Raw genomic sequence first — 18,933 nt, forward strand, 5'->3', positions numbered from 1 at the left:
TAAAGCTCATTTGCAATAATGTCCATACAGAACAGTAAAGAAAAGTGTGCAAAAGAATAGTGGGAGTGGAATTGTCTTGCCAGATACCAAACTTACTACAAACCATGGGGAAAAAGAAAAGAAAAGAGAATGATTCTAGAACAGGGACAGAAAAGTTGAACAATTAACCAGATAGCACAGAAAAAAGCCAAGTGTTATGATAACTTTAAGCCAAGTGTTAAATCACTCAATTGTGACTTTTCAATTGAGTGGGGAAAAGAACCATTTGTATAATAAAAAGGCATTAGCATATGTGCATCTCCACCTGTGGAAAAAAGAAAGCTGGATTGTATTACCTCAAAGCATACACAAAAGAATTTCTAGATAGACTAAATATCTCAATCTTAAAAATTATTCACCAGCCTGGGCACAGTGGCTCATGCCTGTAATCCCAGCATTTTGGGAGGCTGAGGGAGTAGATCATTTGAGCCTATGAGTTCAAGACCATCCTGGGCAACATGATGAAACTACATCTCTACAAAAAACACAAAAAAATCAGCCAGGCATGGTGGTGTGTGCCTATAATCCTAACTACTCAGAAGGCTGAGACAGGAGGATCGCCTGAGTCAAGGGAGGTCAAGGCTACAGTGAGCCATGATCCTACCACTGTACTCCAGCCTGGCAACAGAGTGAGACCCTGTAGCAGAAGGAAAAAAAAAAAAATGTGAAAATAATTATATAGCTTTGATATAAGCAAAGATACCCACGACAGGAAACCCACAGGGCATTTTTTAAAAAAACCTACATAGTCATATTCCAGTGTAAAAAATGTAAAATTTGTTAGTAACTGAAGTCAAGAGACAAGTGACATCCTAGCGAAAATATCCGTAAAATGTTGAACAAAGTGTTGATGTCACAAAGAACACCTATAAATCGATAAGGAAAAGACCAAAAATTCACCATGAAAATGAAAAAATGAATAGTACACGTGAATCACAAAAAAGGAATTGCAAATAACCAGTATATAAAATGGTCTTCAACCTCAAGAACATGCAAACTCACGTTAGTTAACACTATTTACCCAGTAGATTGGAAAAATATTTCATTTCAAGCATTTCACTGGTAAAATACATTGTGGGTGAAATTATAATCCATTACAAACAATATTTCTTGGGGAAATTTGGCAACACCTTCTAGAATATAAAATTCACGTGGCCTTGAAGAAAAGAAAATTCTACTTTGAAGAGCCTTTTCAGTCAAAATAAAAGGGCCAGTGTGCAAAGCTGTATGCACTAGAATGTCTATCGCATATTTTAGTGACAAAAAAGTAAAAATACTGGGTCCATTAATGGGGCATGACTGAATATATCACATTACAGCCATTTCTACGGAACATAATGCACACATTATGCAAAAAAACTGTATTTTGCTGCAGTGAGATGTAATATAGTATACAGTAGTAAGGGCTCTAGAGGATGGAAGCCCGACAGCCCATTCCAAGTCTGGGCTTCACCACTTCCTAACCTTGTGAACTTCAGCAGCCTCCTTAAGTTCTCTGGACCCGTTTCCTCATCAGCAAACAGGGAGAATGATAGCAACTTCACAAGGTTATTGTAAGGCTCAAATGAGATAAAGTATTTAAAGCAAAAAAAAAAAAGTGTTCTTAAAATCAATTTCAAGAAAATTAAGTCACAAAGTAATGTCTGTTGTGGGATTCCTTTTTTGTCAAGATAACAGATCTTATCTCACTTACCATTGCCTGAACAAACCAGGACATTGTCCATCTGGGATGGTTTTTGTCCAAACAGGAGGCGATAGTTATTAATTAAGGAAGCGAGACTGGGTTTGGACTGTGGCATACGACGAGAGGATTTGGCTAGTTCTTAGTAAAAGGAGACCATAGCAGGCATGCAGCATTATGTACAGATGCCCTAAGAGACTGAGAAACAAGGAAAATGGGGTTGGAGGCATTTTGAGGGGAGGAGCAAGTGTGAGCATGAGCCCAACCCTGAGATCCTTCAAGAGCCCAGTTCTAGTTGCAGGCCACAAGTATCCTGACAATAAACGACTCTGTGCTTCTTAGACTCTGCAAGGGGAAGACTTATCAAAGCCACCTCACAAAAAACAGAGTCGTTAAATATATACTATGTGTTTTTTTTGTTTGTTTGTTTGTTTGTTTTGAGATGGAGTCTCGCTCTGTCGCCCAGGCTGGAGTGCAGGGGTGCAACCTCAGCTCACTGCAAGCTCTGCCTCCCGGGTTCACGCCATTCTCCTGCCTCAGCCTCCCCAGTAGCTAGGACTACAGGCGCCCGCCACCACGCCTGGCTAATTTTTTTTTTTTTTTGTATTTTTAGTAGAGACGGGGTTTCACCGTGTTAGCCAGGATGATCTCGATCTCCTGACCTCGTGATCCGCCCATCTCGGCCTCCCAAAGTGCTGGGATTACAGGCGTGAGCCACCGCGTCCGGCCCATACTATGTGTTTTAAACACAAAAAACACAGTATGTATTTAACAGACGTCAACTGCGCTGTGCCAGTTCAGCTAGGCTAGGCTTCTGCCTGTAACTGAAAAACAAACTAGCATTTCAAGTAAAATGAGTAAAAAATATAAAAACACATTGTAAATTATCATTTTCTAATACTTAAGTCAGCTTATGAGATTCCTCCCACACCTACTCAGTGGCTCACAAACCCTCGGAAGGAAGAAGCACTGCATAACCCATCTCAATGTTTCAGTCATTACTTACCACTTCAATAGCCCACTAATAAACAGTGGTTTCCACCAAGATAAAATATACAAATTTTTCAATAGACGTAGTAAATACTGAACAAAAGTAAACAGAAGTTGACTATAATATCAAAAAGCAGTACCATTTAGTATTAGTCTGAAAGCAACTAGTGAACGCATTAATATAACCAACAAACAACCTTTCACGAAATACTTAGAGATTAGGGCCATAAACTACAAGCTAGTGTTCTTTTCACTTTGAAATGAAAGATCAGAGGTTCCATATAGGCCTTAATTAGACTCATAGTCTAGAATTTTTCTTTCTTTCTCTAATTAAGAGGATCACGCAAAAACACTGAAGTAGTAGTGCCAAGATGATTCCAGCCAGGTAGCCCAGTGCAACACACACAAAAATAGTTCACAGAGATAATGTTACCCAATTATGAATTCAGAGAGACTCAATGTACAACATATTTCTTAAGACACAGCTACAAGACAGAGAGTAGGGCATCATCCATAAAAGGTTGGGCAAAAGATGAGGGCCTCAAAGCCAGGCCAAACTGGGTGGTTTTTCACCTAGAATAATATAAGGTAGTCTGCCTAGAGGAACAATCTCTATCACTGTTGAGGAAGAAAGCCAAGGTATATAAATGAAGAAGAGGTTCTAAGTGTCAGGTCCAACGTAAATGGTGAGGTCATAAAAAGCAAAAGGAATTTCTAGGCCAGACATGATGAAGATGAGAAATTAAGGGGTATGAAGATAACAAATTGGGTCTTTGTAAGCAGGTTAGAACTAAAATGGTGAACGCTGAGACTGCCGGAAGATTTTTGTTGTGTTGTACCAGTTGGATAGTGTGTTTGTTTGATTATGCAGGTGCACACATGTATATAAACAAGCTGGGAGGTAGCGAGCTCCTCCCAAGAGGAGGTGTAAGTTTCATGGCTTAAAGGAGTCAGGCAAAACCAATGTTCCACCTAATATTAACTATCAAATTATATTTTAATATTGTCCCTTACTGAATAACAATTCAGGATTGCTTGGGACCAATAGTAAACTGATTGAAAAAATTATCCAAATGGGGATAAGCTATGAATGTTACTAGGATCATATGATGAGAGGTAAAAGGATGGGCAAATTCAAGGCTACAGACACAACTTGATTCAGAAAATATGAAATTACGAAGAGGAAGACATACCAAGTACTATTCTTTGGAAAGATGAGATGTTTGTTAAGCAGAGCTTAATATTAACTTCTTTTTTTTTCTTACTCCTTTTTTTTTTTTTTTGAGACAAGGTCCCACTCTGCCACCCAGGCTGGAGTATAATGGCGCAGTCACAGTTCACTGCAGCCTCCACCTCCCAGGCTCATCACCTCAACCTCCTGAGTAGCTGGGACCACAGGTGTCTCCCACTATACCCAGCTAATTTTTATATGTTTTGCAGAGACAGGGTTTCACCACATTGCACAGGATGGTCTCGAACTCCTGAGCTCAAGCAATCCACAAGCCTCTGCTTCTGAAAGTGCTGGGATTATAGACATGAGCCACCTCACCCAGCCAATATTAACTTATTTTTTAATATAACAGACTAGGGAGTAACACAGAAGTTGGTCCTCATATCTAAAACAGAGTAAAAATACTCTTGACTATTTACATTCAAATAATGTAACTAAGACTAACATGAGTCACTTTCCGTTTTCCAATCAATTTATAGATTAAATGCTTATACCTGACACCAGAAAAAAATAGCAATTAAACTGTAGGCCATAAAATTAATTTCTTCTGCAGTACAAAAAAAAAAAAGAAAAATGTAATTTCATTTCTTTTTGACCTAGATTATGCCAATTGCATTAGATGTTTTATTTCCCATATGTATCAGAATGTTCAAATAGTATATAGGCTACTAAAAAGAATCATTCCCAAATGGTACTCTCCCCAAACAACAAACTTCTCTTATTAATCATGCTGAAACTGTATGCTTACAAAAAAAGTGAGCAAAATTGGAAGCAAGAGCCTTCCAAAATTAAATGACCAACTAAATCAGATAGGCAGATTTGAATGTTTTTTAATCAGGCACTGCTGGCATGATCACAACATTTAAAATACCCAAATGATTCTACATAAATCTAACTCATCATCTTTCTTACAAAAAGTCCAGAGCTCTAATGAAGTCCATAATGATCTGGATAAAATACACTTAATTAGATTATAAACTGCAACATAAAACGGCTGCATCATGCCTTTTAACATTTTTCTCTCTGAAGATCAGAGGATTGAAAGGGGGTTATAAAACAGCCCATTCATTTTTCTTGTCTTTTAAAGGAAGGAAAAAACCATTAGGCAGAACTAAAGTTCCAGACAACTTTTAACAAGTGACATCCAAGTAGGTCACATTCTTAGACCTCCTCAGAGATGCAGGGAACGATGATGGGGTCAGGTGACCAACACATCAATGGGACGGCATGTGATCAGACAACTCTGGGGAATGCTAATGATTTCCTATGTGATGCTGATAGTACAAGATGTACTTTATGCTTGATGATATCTAGATGAGATAGATAACAGGAAAAAAAAACCAAGGCTAATTAAAATGCATTTCAAAGATAATCCTAACATGATTTTCTAATAGTACGCAAGTCCACTGTGAGTTTGAGATGGTGAATTAAAGACGAATCTATTCATCCACAGATACATCTATCCACTCATACAATTTATGTGTTTATTTTTGGTTGAGGGAGACAGGAGGTGAGAAACAAGCATGCAACAATTGCTAAAAATGTCTTTAAATATTTATCTACAGAATTCTCAAATGTGTTATCTTGACTACTAGAGACTAAGAGCATGGCCTTTGGAGTGACCAGATCTCCTTTGAATCCCAGTTCCAACATTTGTTGGCTCTGTAACGCTCAGGTGCAGTTATGACATCTGAACACAGTGAGAACAATCCATGTTCAGGAAGTAATTATGGGAGATTAAGTGTAAGGCACTTTGTACTTTGCCTGTCCTAGAATAGGTGTTGCATACATTAAATCACAATCAAAACAGACAAGCACATTTGGGATAAACTAAATAAGATCTCTAAATAAATGAAAGGGCCAGCCTCAGTGGCTCACGCCTATAATCCCAGTACTTTGTGAGGCTGAGGCAGGAAGATCGCTTGATACCAGGAGTTGAAGACCAGTCTGGGCAACATGGCAAGACTCCATCTCTAAAAAATAAAAATAATAATAATAATTAGCCAGGCACGGTGGTATGCACCTATAGTCCCAGCTACTGGGGAGGCTGAGATGGGAGGATCGCTTGAGCCCTGGAGGTCAAAGTGAGACCCTGTCTTAAAAAAAATTTTTTTAAAAAAAGGGACATACCATGTTCACGATTCAATATTAAGATGTCAAATCTCCCCTAAGTGATCTACATTTCACACCATTTCAATCAAAATAGCAGGCTTTTTAAAAAGCTAACAAGCTGATTAAAAAATGTTTATGAAAAGGCAAGTGAAAATAGCCAAATCAATTTTAAAGAGAGAAAAAAAAAAGTTAGAGGGCATACACTACCTGATTTCAAGATTTACTAAAAAGCTATACTAATCAGAATGGTGTGGTACTGAAGAAAGGATAGAATAGTGAGTCCAGAAACAGGCCTACACAAACATGGGCAATTGATCTCCAACAAAGATGAAAAGGCAATTTAATGGAGAAAGGAAAGTCTCTTCAAAAAAATGATGCAGGAACAACTGTATATTTGTGTGGAGAATCAAGAAAACCCTTATGCCATAACATATTCAAAAGTTAATTAAAAATGGATTATAGTTGGGCATGGTGGCAAATGCCTGTATTCCTGCTACTCGAGAGGCTGAGACAAGAGGATCGCTTTAGCCTGGGAGTTGGAATCCAGCCTGCATAATGTAGTGAGACCCGATCTCTATGGAAAAAAAAAAAAGATTATAAATTGAAATGTAAATGCTAAAACAGAAAACTCCTAGAAAATATTTGTGACTTTCCCTAAGAAAATATTTCTTAAATAAAAGAAGAAAACACAAACTATAAAAGTAAAAATTGATCAAATGAACTTTATTAAAATTAAAAACTTCGGCTCTTCAAAAGATGCCATTAAGAAAACAAAAAGACAAGTCACAAGTAAGGAGATAATATTTGCAATGCATATCTGACCCAGGACTTGTATCCATGTCATATAAAGAACTCTTACAACTCAACAACATGAAAACAACCCAAAATAATATAGGCAAAAGATTGAACAAATACTTCTCAAAAGAAAAGATACAAATGGCAAAAAAGCACTTAAAAAGATAAGCAGTAGCATTAACTAATTAGAAATGGGAATTAAAACCACACTGGACTGCCACCGAGCACGTATTAGAATGGCTGAAATTAAAAAGACTGACACTACCAGGTCTTGGTGATGATGCAGAGCAACTGGAACTCTCATATACTACTGGGGGGAACACGAAAAGTCACGACTACTTCAGAAAGCAGTCTTGTAGTTTTTTATAAAGTTAGATATAATACTAACCATATAACGTAGCCACTGTGACCACAGATATTTTCCTAAGAGAAAACGTATGTCATACAAAGATTTGTACATGAATGTTCACAGTGAATGTCCATCAGGAGGTTAATGGATAAATAAAATGTGGTATGTCTACACAACACAACACTATTCATAAACAGAAAGGAATGAATTACTGATAGGTCCAATAATATGAATACATCTCAACACCATTATGCTAAGCGAAAACAGTTGGATGTAAGGGTACATACTGATTTCACTTTATGTAAAATGCAAGTTGATGTACAGTGACAAAAAGGAGATCACTAATCAGCTGGGGCTGGGGGTGGGTGAGGGATAGACTGAAAAAGGGTACAGGTACAAAGAAGATATATAGATGGCCATTTTTATGCACATAAAAAGATACTTAACATTAGTAATCATTAGGAAAATGCAAATTCAAAACCATGATAAAATACCACCTTAACACTCATTAGGATGACTATAAAAAAAAAAAAAAAAAAAAGGCCAGGTGCGGCGGCTCACGCCTGTAATCCCAGCACTTTGGGAGGCCGAGGCGGGCGGATCACGAGGTCAGGAGATCGTGACCATCCTGGCTAACATGGTGAAATCCCGTCTCTACTAAAAATACAAAAAAATTAGCCGGGCGTGGTGGTGGGCACCTGTAGTCCCAGCTACTCAGTAGGCTGAGGCAGGAGAATGGAGTGAACCCGGGTGGCAGAGCTTGCAGTGAGCCGAGATGGTGCCACTGCACTCCAGCCTGGGTGACAGAGCAAGACTCTGTCTCAGAAAAAAACAAAAAAAAAAACAAATGTTGGCAAGGATGTAGAGAAACTGGAAGCCTTGTGCGTTACTGGTAGGAATGCAAAACGGTGCAGCTATTGTGGAAAACAGTCTGGCAGTTCCTTAAAAGACTAAACACGAGCTGGGTGCAGTGATACATCTGCAGCCCCAGGTACTCCTACTCTGCAGGCTGAGGCAGGAGACTCATTTGAGACCAGGAGTTCAAAGCCAGCCTAGGCAACATAGCAAGACCTAGTCTTTAAAAATAAAAGAAGACAAGAAAAAATTTTAAAAAATAATTACTATATGATCCAGCAATTCCACTTCTGGGTATATAACCTGAAGAGCTGAAAGCACAGATTCAAATAGGTATTGGCACACCTTTGCTCGCTGCAGTACTATTCACAATAGCCAGAAGGTGGACATAACCCAAATATGCATCAACAGATGAATGGAGAAATCAAATGTGGTATATACATACAATGCAATATTATTCAGCCTTAAAAAGGAAGGGAATTCTGATCAATACTATCATATTGGTGAACTTTGAAGACATTATGCTAAATTAAAGAAGTTAGACACAGAAGGACAAATATTGTACGATTCAACCTATAGAAGTACCTAGAATTGTCAAAATCAGAGAGACAGGAAGTAGAATGGTGGTTGCCAGAGGCTGGGGCAAAAGGGGAATGGGGAGTTATCATTTAATGGGTTCAAAGTTTCAGTTCTGGATGATGAAAAAGAGTTCTGGAGCTGGACAGTGGTAACGGGTGCAGAACAACATGAATGCACTTAATGCTACTGGATTGTATACCTAAAAGTGGTCATAATGGAAAATTTCATTATATATACATTTTACTACAATAAGGAAATAGTAAAGAAAAAAGTGGCACAGAAATATTTTGGAAGTAATGGAAATGTTCTCTATCTTGATTGTGACTGTGGCTTCATGGGTATATAAAACTGTCAAAATTCATCCAATTAAATAGATTCATTTAACTGCATAAAATTATTGCTCAATAAAGTTGATGAGGGGAAAAAAAGACACTAGCAAATTAGCAAGAATATATTTTATGCCTCTCCTCCCTGCCTTTCCTCATTTCATCCTGCAATGCCTACCAGTTTTCTATTTCATAGGAAGCAGGAGAAAAAGAAAAAAACGGAGGGAGTGCGGGCAGGGGGACATTCATTCAACAAATACTTAGATAACCTCCATTTCATATGTTACTCCAATAAGCCTGAGTGTTACAGGTTTATGGATGAGGAAACTATATGAAGTTTGGTATGAAGTCGTTTATCCAGGTCACACGAGATTAAGTGGCAAAGCTCAGTTTGTAACCACCGTGTTTCTAAGCCTTCACAAATGTGCATTGTAAAAATGTTCTCCCTACGTGTGATTTCACCAGACCTACATACATGAGGGGAAATAACAAGAGGCAAAGCCATGAAAATTGTGCACTATCAACAAGATAAAAAGTGTGGCAAAAATGATAAATGTTCAAGCTGATGGATATGCTAATTACCCTGATTTGATCATTATGCATTATATACATGTATCGAAATATCACTCTGTAGCCCATAAATACATGTAAACTAAAAAGAAAAAAAAAGGACATAAAATGTGTGGAAAATAGGTACTTCTGTTCACATTTAAGGACTTCTTGCAAAGAGTTATTGAAACCTTTGTCTTTTGTAATTTCTCCTTACTTAACAATTGGGCACACAGATTAAGAACACACACTCCACAGTCACACTTCCCAGGTCCCGTCCTACTGCTGTGACCTGACGTGATCTCCCTTTGCCTCAGTTTTCTCAACTGCAAAATGCGGATTATAATTGTAACTATCTGGGCACAGTAGCACCTGCCTGTGGTCCCAGCTACTCCGGAAGCTGTGGTAGAAAGATCTGACTCCAAGTTCAAGTCCATCCTCGGCAACACAGTAAGACATTGTCTATAAAAATAACAATAATAATAATTGCATCTACCTCAAAGGGCTTTTGTGATGATTAAATAATGGATGTGAAGTGCTTAACATAGCGTTAGAGGCATACGAAATTCTCAATAAATATTAGCCTTCCTCTTCCATATAGTCTACCTATAACAGCTATGGTCTATCTGTAATAGCTAGGTACAGGTAGAGTTACATGCAGAACTGAAAAAGAAAAAGCTACTTTTACAGGTAGTGGTTTGAATTCACTAATGTTGTCCTTCCTTCCTTCTTTCCTCCCTCCCACTCTCTCTCCCTTAAAATGCATTGCTGTTCCTCAAATATAGTTTTTGCATTAAAAATGTATGATGGATACAGATGGCAAATACGCATATGAAAAGATGCTCCACATCACATGTCATCAGGGAAATGCAAATTAAAATAACAAGAAGATACCACTACGCACATATTAGAATGGCCAAATCCGGAACACTGATAACACCAAATGCTGGCAAGGATGTGGAATAACAGGAACTCTCGTTCACTGCTGATGGGAACGCAAAATGGTACAGCCACTTGGGAAGACAGTTTGGCAATTTCTTACAGAACTAAACATACTCATCACACAATCCAGAAATCTTACTCCTTGTTATTTACCCAAAGGAGTTAAAAACTTATGTCCACACAAAAATCTGCATGTGGATACTGACAGCAGCTTTATTCATAACTCCCCAAACTTGGAAGTAACCCAGATGGCCTTCAGAAGGTGAATGGATAATCAAATTGTTGCACATCCAGACAATGGACAATTATTTAGCACTAAAAGTAAGTGATGTTATCAAGCCATGAAAAGGCACGGAGCAATCTTAAATGCATACTACTAAGCGAAAGAAGGCAGTGTGAAAAGGCTGTATGATCCCGATTATATAGCATTCTGGAAAAGATAAAGCTATGGAAACGGTAAAAAGATCAGCGGTTGCCAGGGATGAGAGTTGAGAGAGAGATGAACAGGTGAGGCACAGAGCACCTCTGTATAATGCCATAAAGGTAAATACATATCAGTATTCATCTGTCCAAACACGGAATGTACAACACCAAGAGTGAACGCTAACAGAAGCTGAACTTTGGTGATAATGAAGAGTCCATGGAGGTTCATCAGCTGTCACAAATGTCCCACTCTGGTAGAGGATGCTGAGAATGAGGGAGGCTGTGTGTTTTGTGTTGGAGGTGGGGGAGGAGGGCAGGAGGGATATGAGAAAACTCTGTACCTTCCTCTCAATTATGCTGTGAACCTAAATTTGCTCTTCAAAAATCATCTTTTTAAAAAACATGTATGGTGGAAACTATGAATGATGAAAGAAAACCCCATTCAGTAACCTGAAGCAGCACGTTATCTTACGAAATAATAAATGATTCATTTATCTTTGGCAGAATCGGGTCATTTTCCTGCCTTTCTCTTTCTAGGGAAATAAAAATTTTACACTTTCTCAAACATTTGGAAGATTGTCTTTCAAAAGCCAGTACAAGGAAGCTTGAGGAAAGCTTTTTATAGCCAAGTATAACAGCTGGCAGTCTAGAAGCCATATACAACATTTTGCTGTTCTACAGAACTTATAGCAGCTCACAAAAGCAAAACCATTTTTATTGAGGAAACAATAAAAATTGTTGGAAATTTTCAAAATTAAATAGTATAGAAGGACTTTTATTGTAATAAAAGTAATCTATAGATAATGTTTCTCATAGTTAACAAAGGTGCCCATTTACCTACTCAAATCCACATTTCTTTTTTTTTTTTTTGAGACGGAGTCTCTGTCGCCCAGGCTGGAGTGCAGTGGCATGATCTCCGCTCACTGCCAGCTCCGCCTCCCGGGTTCACACCATTCTCCTGCCTCAGCCTCCCGAGTAGCTGGAACTGCAGGCGTCCGCCACCATGCCCGGCTAAATTTTTTTGTATTTTTAGTAGAGACAGGGTTTCACCGTGTTAGCCAGGATGGTCTCAATCTCCTGACCTTGTGATCCGCCTGCCTCGGCCTCCCAAAGTGCTGGGATTAAAGGCGTGAGCCACCGCACCCGGCCCACAACTCCACATTTCTAATGGACTGCAAATTCACCAGCGGTAAAAGTAAACGAGGGAGGCAATAGATCCTTTGGGTCTGATGTTACAGCCAACTCAAGTGGCAGGCTTTTGCTAGATTTTCTAAGCCAGCAGAGGCAGGGATAATAAAACACATTTACCTAGAGAAAAAAAAAAATCAAATTAAGATGACTTTAAGTATTCTATACTAACAGAAGAACTATTAAAAGTAGTTAAATCCATTGTTCTGAAAAACTGAACAGAGATATGACCAACTGGAGGTGTTTTGTCTCTCTCGACTCCACTGGCACTAGGACCTTTTTCTCCTATTTTATTATCAAGCATGGTGAGCCAGCCATTGCCATGCCCAAGTGCTGCATATCTTGTGAGTCTAAACTGAAAACAACATATCTCAGACGTTATCTTAGACTTGAGGCTGAGGAACAGATGGATTTAAGAAAAAAAACCATTCCTTTCCTTTTAAAAGGTCTTAAAAACTTTTGAGAAGCTTCAGGAAAAAGGCAAGTAAGATACGATTATTTTGTGGCATAATAAGATTTCATTTTCTGAAACTCAATCAGGAGAACTAATGAAGAAGAAATGTGCCCCTTGCTTGTGGAAGCCAGCTTAAACTGGTAAGAGCCCAATCACTCACAGTATTTGTTAAGCAAAATCCATTTATGTTGGAACAGTAGGCATTTAAGCATTAATATGAAAGTTAAAATAGAGAAGACAGTACAGAATACTTAAGTTACAATTTCAAATTCGACAGTGTTGACAGAGCTACTCCAGAGACCACTAAATATATTGCTTTAAAAAAAAAAGTTGGCGGGGCATAATGGCTCACACCTGTAATAATCCCAGCATATTAGGAGGCCGAAGTGGAAGGATCACTTGAGCTCAGACTCAGGATAGACCAGCCTGGGCAACATTACAAGACCTTGTCTCTACTAAAAGAAAAAAACTTAGCCAGGCATGGTGGCACACATCTGTAGTCCCAGCTACTTAGGAGGCTGAGATGGGAGGATGGCTTGAGCTCAAGAAGTTGAGGCTACAGTGAGCCACGATTATGCCACTGCACTCCAGCCTGGGCAACAGAGCGAGACTGTCTCAAAAAATAAAAATAAAGGTTGCGTTTTTTTTTTTAAACATTATATATCTGAGAAGATCTCCATATATAAATATTTCATTTTAAACAGCTAATTGAAAAGTTCCATACATTTATATGTGAGAACATTTCATAAGGTTTTACCTTATCCTAATCATATCTTAACTCTAAATATTCCGTTTAACGACAAAAATGGCATAACATTCCCAAAGCAGCAAAATGTCTTTCTTGATTTCTGAAGATAAAAAAGGAAAAAAATAGAAAAAGCAGAAAAGCAATAAACTGTTATTCATTTTAATAAATTTTTATGATCCCTCAGTCATTACTAAATTGGATCATATGATAATTTCTCCTTTGGTTATCATTTTTATTGACAAGTTTTCAGCTGTTTTTTCTTCATTTGCAAAATGAGTCCTAGATCTCATGTCTGGCATAATCACTCAGCTCCCATAAAGAAAGACATCCAGGACCCACTTTATCTTCATGTTACTTTTCTAAGCCAGCCCATCAAAAGTCTGAGGAGACAGTCACTCTTACTGCTACTGACAATACCAACTGGTTTAGTGTACACTAACTGGCTGACTACACACATCTATTCCTTTTCATTCCTAACAGAATGCTGATTTTATTCACATATTCATTCTCATTAGAAATAAATGTTTTAGGCCAGGCATGGTGGCTCACGCCTCTAATCTCAGCACTTTGGGAGGCCGAGGCGGGCGGATCATGAGGTCAGGGGTTTGAGACCAGCCTGGCCAACCTGGTGAAACCCCAGCTCTACAAGTACAAAAATTAGCCAGGCGTGCTGGCAGGCACCCATAATCCCAGCTACTCGGGAGGCTGAGGCAGGAGAACGGCATGAACCCAGGAGGCGGAGCTTGCAGTGAGTCGAGATGGCACCACTGCACTCCAGCCTGGGTGACAGAGCAAGACTCCGTCACACGCACACACACAAAAAAGAAATGTCTCAAGTGCTTAAATTCTTGTAAAAATAACTGCAAAAAGATATATGAGTAAGGACTGGTAGGTACCATATGACTATTTCAGCAAACACATATCACCTGGAAAAAATGTGCTGATAGAGTTTCTTTAGGATCAAATGCGTGGTAGGGAAATCCACATCAAGTCCAATAAAATGGTAAAAGAAAAAAAGAAAAAGCCAGGCACAGAGACTCGTGCCTATAATCTCAGCACTTTGGGAGGCTGAGGTGGGAGGATCACTTGAACACAATTCAAGACCAGCCTGGGCAACACAGCAAGACGCCATCTCTACTTAAAAAAAAAAAAAGAAAAGAAAAATTAGCTAGTCATGGTAGTGCATGCCTGTAGTTCCAGCTACTCAGGAGGCTGAACTGGGAGGATCGCTTGAGCGAGGCTGAGGCTGCTGTGAGCCACGATCACATGACTGCACCCAGCCTGGGCGACAGAGTGAGACCCTGTCTCAAAAATAAAATAATTTTAAAAGTTAAAGCTAACAAAATATACACAAAAACCCAGAAACAGTGATGTGAAAGAAGCTTTTGATTCGTTAGTGATGAAATGAGAGCTGCCTTGATAGACCGGCACTATTACAAAGACGTGCATTGCCTGATCAAGAGGTGGTGCTTCTCAGAGTTTCTAAACCAAAGATTGAATTCTTATTTTTCTTCATGGAGGGAAAAAAGGCCACAACGTTACAATATAAAAATCTGAAAAAGGGAAGTGAATTGATTTTTCATCTAACTTAATAAAATGACTTATTTGGCTGATATTTCCTTAGGATCTCAACAACCTCAAGCCAAAACTTCATAGTTTTTCAGGGCAGCACAAACGAATCCCACAGGTTAAATGAAGAGCTGCTCATTAGGACTGAGAATCAGGAAAGAGCCTTAGTTCATCCACATGTGATTCATTCACATCATTGACTTAAAGATCGTCACCATTCATTGTTCCTGAGTGGGGAGAAAAAAATCCACAGAATATTTCCCCGAGATCATAAAGAGGTTAGTCACTGATTTGGGGATCTTTATAGTCTACCATTTGACAATGACTTGGCCTTTCTGCGAGAAAAAACATCCATCAGGAGTACCACTGAAAATGTGCTGAATTTAGAGCACCTCTCCACAGTGACTGCAATTACAGAACTCCTAAATCACTGAAAACACTCTGAATCTTGGTTTTAAACATCTTGTGACACCAGAAGAGGACAAAAATTGTCCTAGTGATGATGAACCTAATATGTGGTGTGTCTGTTTTGGATTACAATTTTCCCAATTACAAATGCTAGTCATTTGGACCACTAACCCAAGAATGCCTTGGTTAATTTCTCAAGGACAAAATGTTTACATATTGATATATTTTAACATTTCATTTTTGAAATGAATGCTATTTTATTTTTCAAAGGCAGATGATGTCTTACCTACCCAGTGTATTTATAACCCCTTTGAACACTTGACCCATATTCCTAAGCATCCTTATGGCACTTAAAATGCCTAACCAGTTCCAAATGTTCAATAACGTTTCAGCAAATGCTTGCTGAATGAATTAATTAATGAGCGAAGGTATGTTGAAAAAAATTAGATTTTCCTGGTAACTTAATTTTGAAATAGAAAACATATAATAATAAATGCTAGCTCAAAATAACCCTAGTAAAGCAATATAAGTGACTACCTTGGAAAACTTACAGCAGAATGCATCACTGCTCCCACTCCCAAACCTGCTACCACTTTTGCGTTCTTTATGCTATGAGAGGTACCACTACATCCACAGCTGACTGCATCAGGAAGAGCCCAAGACCACCTTCAGTTTCAGTTATCTACTAGGCAGACTCTCAGGGCTCGGCACACAGTCGTACTCACAGCTGCAGTTTATTACAGGGAAACAACACCAAGCGAAGTCAGCAAGGGGAAAGGCACATGGGGAGAAGTCTGTGGAAACAGAGTGGGAGCCTCCAAGGGCCTTCCCCCAGGGAGTCACAAGGGAGGCACTTCACTCCTCCTACAAAAAGCTGTGATAACGTGAGAAATGTCCCAGTCAGGGAAACCCATTAGAGACTCAGTACCCAGGGTCTTTATTGGAGTTCAATCGCCTGTAGGCAGCCTCTAATTTTGGACTCCTGGAAGGACAGCAGGGGATCAGCATAAACCATAATGTTGACACAAACAGTTTAGGCACTGTCAGCCACTCTTACCAGATAAGGGGGAAACACTTGCTGAAATCTCAGTTGCTAAATGTCAGCCAAGGGCCAAACTTGTGGGCCTGCCCTTCCTTCCTTTCCTCCTTCCTTCCCTTCCTTCCCTTCCTTCCTTCCCTCCCTCACTCCCATTCCCTCCCCTCCCCTCCTCTCCCCTCCCTCTCCTTCCCTTCCTCCCTCTCTCCCTCCCTTTCTCTCTCTCTCTCTTAACAGTCTTCCTCTGCTGCCCAGACTAGAGTGCAGTGGTATGGTATCAGCTCACTGCAAGTTCCACCTCCCAGGTTCAAGCAATTCTCCTGCCTCAGCCTCCCGAGTAGCTGGGATTACAGGCGCATGCCACCATGCCTGGCTAATTTTTGCATTTTTAGTAGAGACAGGGTTTTGCTATGTTCCCTACGCCAGTCTCGAACTCCTGACTTCAAGTGATCCACCCGCTTCAACCTCCCAAAGTGCTGGGATTAGAGGCGTAAGCCACCACGCCCAGCCCAGGTCTTTTCAAGGATAAGCAGTTTAGGCCTGCTAGGTTAACTCTTTTCTGCACAGCGACTAGGCCAGAAACCAAGAAATAATCCCAATTCCTACTTCTTCACTGTCCCTCATCTCTTCTAGGCCAAATCCTGTCAATTTTGCTCCTGAGTAACTTCCCTGTACTCCCTTCTTCCTGTCCTCACTATCGGGCTTTAATGGAGGCCTCTGTTCTCTCTTGCTCGCATCACTGCCGGAACTCCTACCTTGTCTCCTGCCTATCCTTCCATCCATTCTCCACAGGCTCTTTGCCGGGAAGGCTGCCCACTGCCCTCAACCTCCCGAGCATAGTGGAAAACAGGGCCTTTTTCTGATGTGCCCAAGTTTTCTCTCTAATTTCTCAACACTTTCTCCCTTTTGTACTCTCTGTTCTAGTCAAACTGAACTATTAAATGCAGTTCTCAGAAAGCATGGCACTTTCTTACCTTTGTCACTTTGTTCTGGCTACTTGTCCTCTACCTAGAATGCATTTCCACTTTTGCCTGGGTTAAGAAGTATGTAGGCTTTAGAAGTCAGCTGAGGCACCAACACAAATCTTCCCCAGATATCCCCGTCTCCCAGTCTAATACCTCATGCCTACTCCCCTCCACGGCATTTATCCCACTGCACTGCAATTTCAGTCTATTTTATTGATCTATCCCCTATACTGTGTGTCCTTAAAGGTGGGACTGCGTATCCCCAGTGTCTAGCATGGTCACTGACAAATTGTTCATGTCCAATAAATACTTCTTGACTGAATAAATGTCACAACTTCAGCAGGGTTCCCCTGAGGTCAGCTCCATCCCCCGGCCTTCTAGACCGGACTGAACTTAGACGATTTTGGCACAGACACTGGGAACCGTGCATCGTTCATGTTATCCTCTTTGCATTGGCTTTGTTCAAAAGCTAACAGCCAAATATGTGGTGGTCTTCCTGTGACCGTGTAGGTCTGCAGAGCCTATAATCTGTATACTAATTACACTTTTGGTTTCGACTTACCTTCCCCAACCTCTTACTCTGATTACTTCACTTACACTTTATTTGTATCTTTGTGTGTGTGCATGGTTTTTTCCAAAGCTGAAATTCCTTCTGGACTAAAGCAGGATATAAATAGATATGTATATAGTCCCAAAGAGATGAGAACACTGTCCCATTGTTTAGAGGAGGTGAAACCTCAGTTTTTCTCAGTATCCCATTCCTAGCTAAATCCAAAGTCTCCTAAAGCACAACTTACAAAAAGAGCTATTTTCCTCCTAGTTCTTCAGCTCAACTTCATGCAATGAAGTTACTCTAAATAAAGGAATGCATACGTGCACCCATATTTTCTTCACAAGACTTAGGAGCAAGACTCAAAAAAGTGAGGACAGATGCGCGCCTTACTTTATCCAGTCAATGTGCTGCTGAAAAACTGGGTAAAATGAGTTGTTTAAATAGAATCAAAATGTCAGTTTACTAGAGATGCTCACTACTTACAGAAACACCACGGCAAATCCATGAAGTAATTATGGGGTGAAAGAAGTAATCACCCTAAAACTTATCTGCCTTGTAATCCCAGATTTACAGGCTGAGGCAATGTTAAAGTATGCTTATTAGAAAACCCTCAAGTTCTACTGTGTATAAACATGCAATCCTCTTCGTTTGTTTCATCACCTATAAACGTAACTCAAGTTAATAACCAGCCAGAAAATTCAAATTAATATTAAATACTGAAACACTGTTATCACCAAATTCACACCAGAAATTATTAGCACTTCAAATGTGAGAATGTTCTCAAAGCCCTGTTAATTCCTTCCTTCTACCCCTACTTGACAGACATTCCTTGACAACCTCCTAAGTAAAACATTCCTTCTCTACATGTCAATAGATTCCACCTAAGAAAGGCAAAGTCCTTGCTGTCAAGGAACTTATAGCCACGTAGAGTTCACTCTTTTTGTTATATCTGTTACTAACATGAGACTTTTTTCTTCTTTAATCCAAATTTTCATTTCATTTTTTTCTCCTTTACATCTGTTTTTGTTGTAAACTGCCACTCAGGAGATAACTTTCATTAATTTGCCTTATAAAATTTCTACCAAAACCAACTAAAAGGACAAGAGAACATAGAAGAAGGACAGTACATGCAGAGTTTTAA

The 18,933-nt window shown here is 39.5% G+C and overlaps 1 protein-coding gene across 14 annotated transcripts in view, besides 2 other annotated features; it reads right to left on the reverse strand.

The window, feature by feature from the left end:
- Positions 1-18,933, reverse strand: part of SMYD3 (SET and MYND domain containing 3) — a 757,933-nt gene that overhangs the window by 297,809 nt on the left and 441,191 nt on the right. The gene's annotated exons all lie outside the window — the stretch shown is intronic.
- Positions 16,338-16,864: an enhancer, noted in NCBI's record as "H3K27ac-H3K4me1 hESC enhancer chr1:246226795-246227321 (GRCh37/hg19 assembly coordinates)". NCBI's record gives its function as "activates a minimal SCP1, AML or CMV promoter by ChIP-STARR-seq in primed H9 embryonic stem cells {active_cell/tissue: H9 hESC(primed)}" and the evidence as "EXISTENCE:reporter gene assay evidence [ECO:0000049][PMID:30033119]".
- Positions 18,376-18,912: an enhancer, noted in NCBI's record as "NANOG hESC enhancer chr1:246228833-246229369 (GRCh37/hg19 assembly coordinates)". NCBI's record gives its function as "activates a minimal SCP1, AML or CMV promoter by ChIP-STARR-seq in primed H9 embryonic stem cells {active_cell/tissue: H9 hESC(primed)}" and the evidence as "EXISTENCE:reporter gene assay evidence [ECO:0000049][PMID:30033119]".

Source organism: Homo sapiens, chromosome 1 (assembly GCF_000001405.40).
Source record: "Homo sapiens chromosome 1, GRCh38.p14 Primary Assembly".
In the NCBI taxonomy this organism is placed as follows: domain Eukaryota; kingdom Metazoa; phylum Chordata; class Mammalia; order Primates; family Hominidae; genus Homo; species Homo sapiens.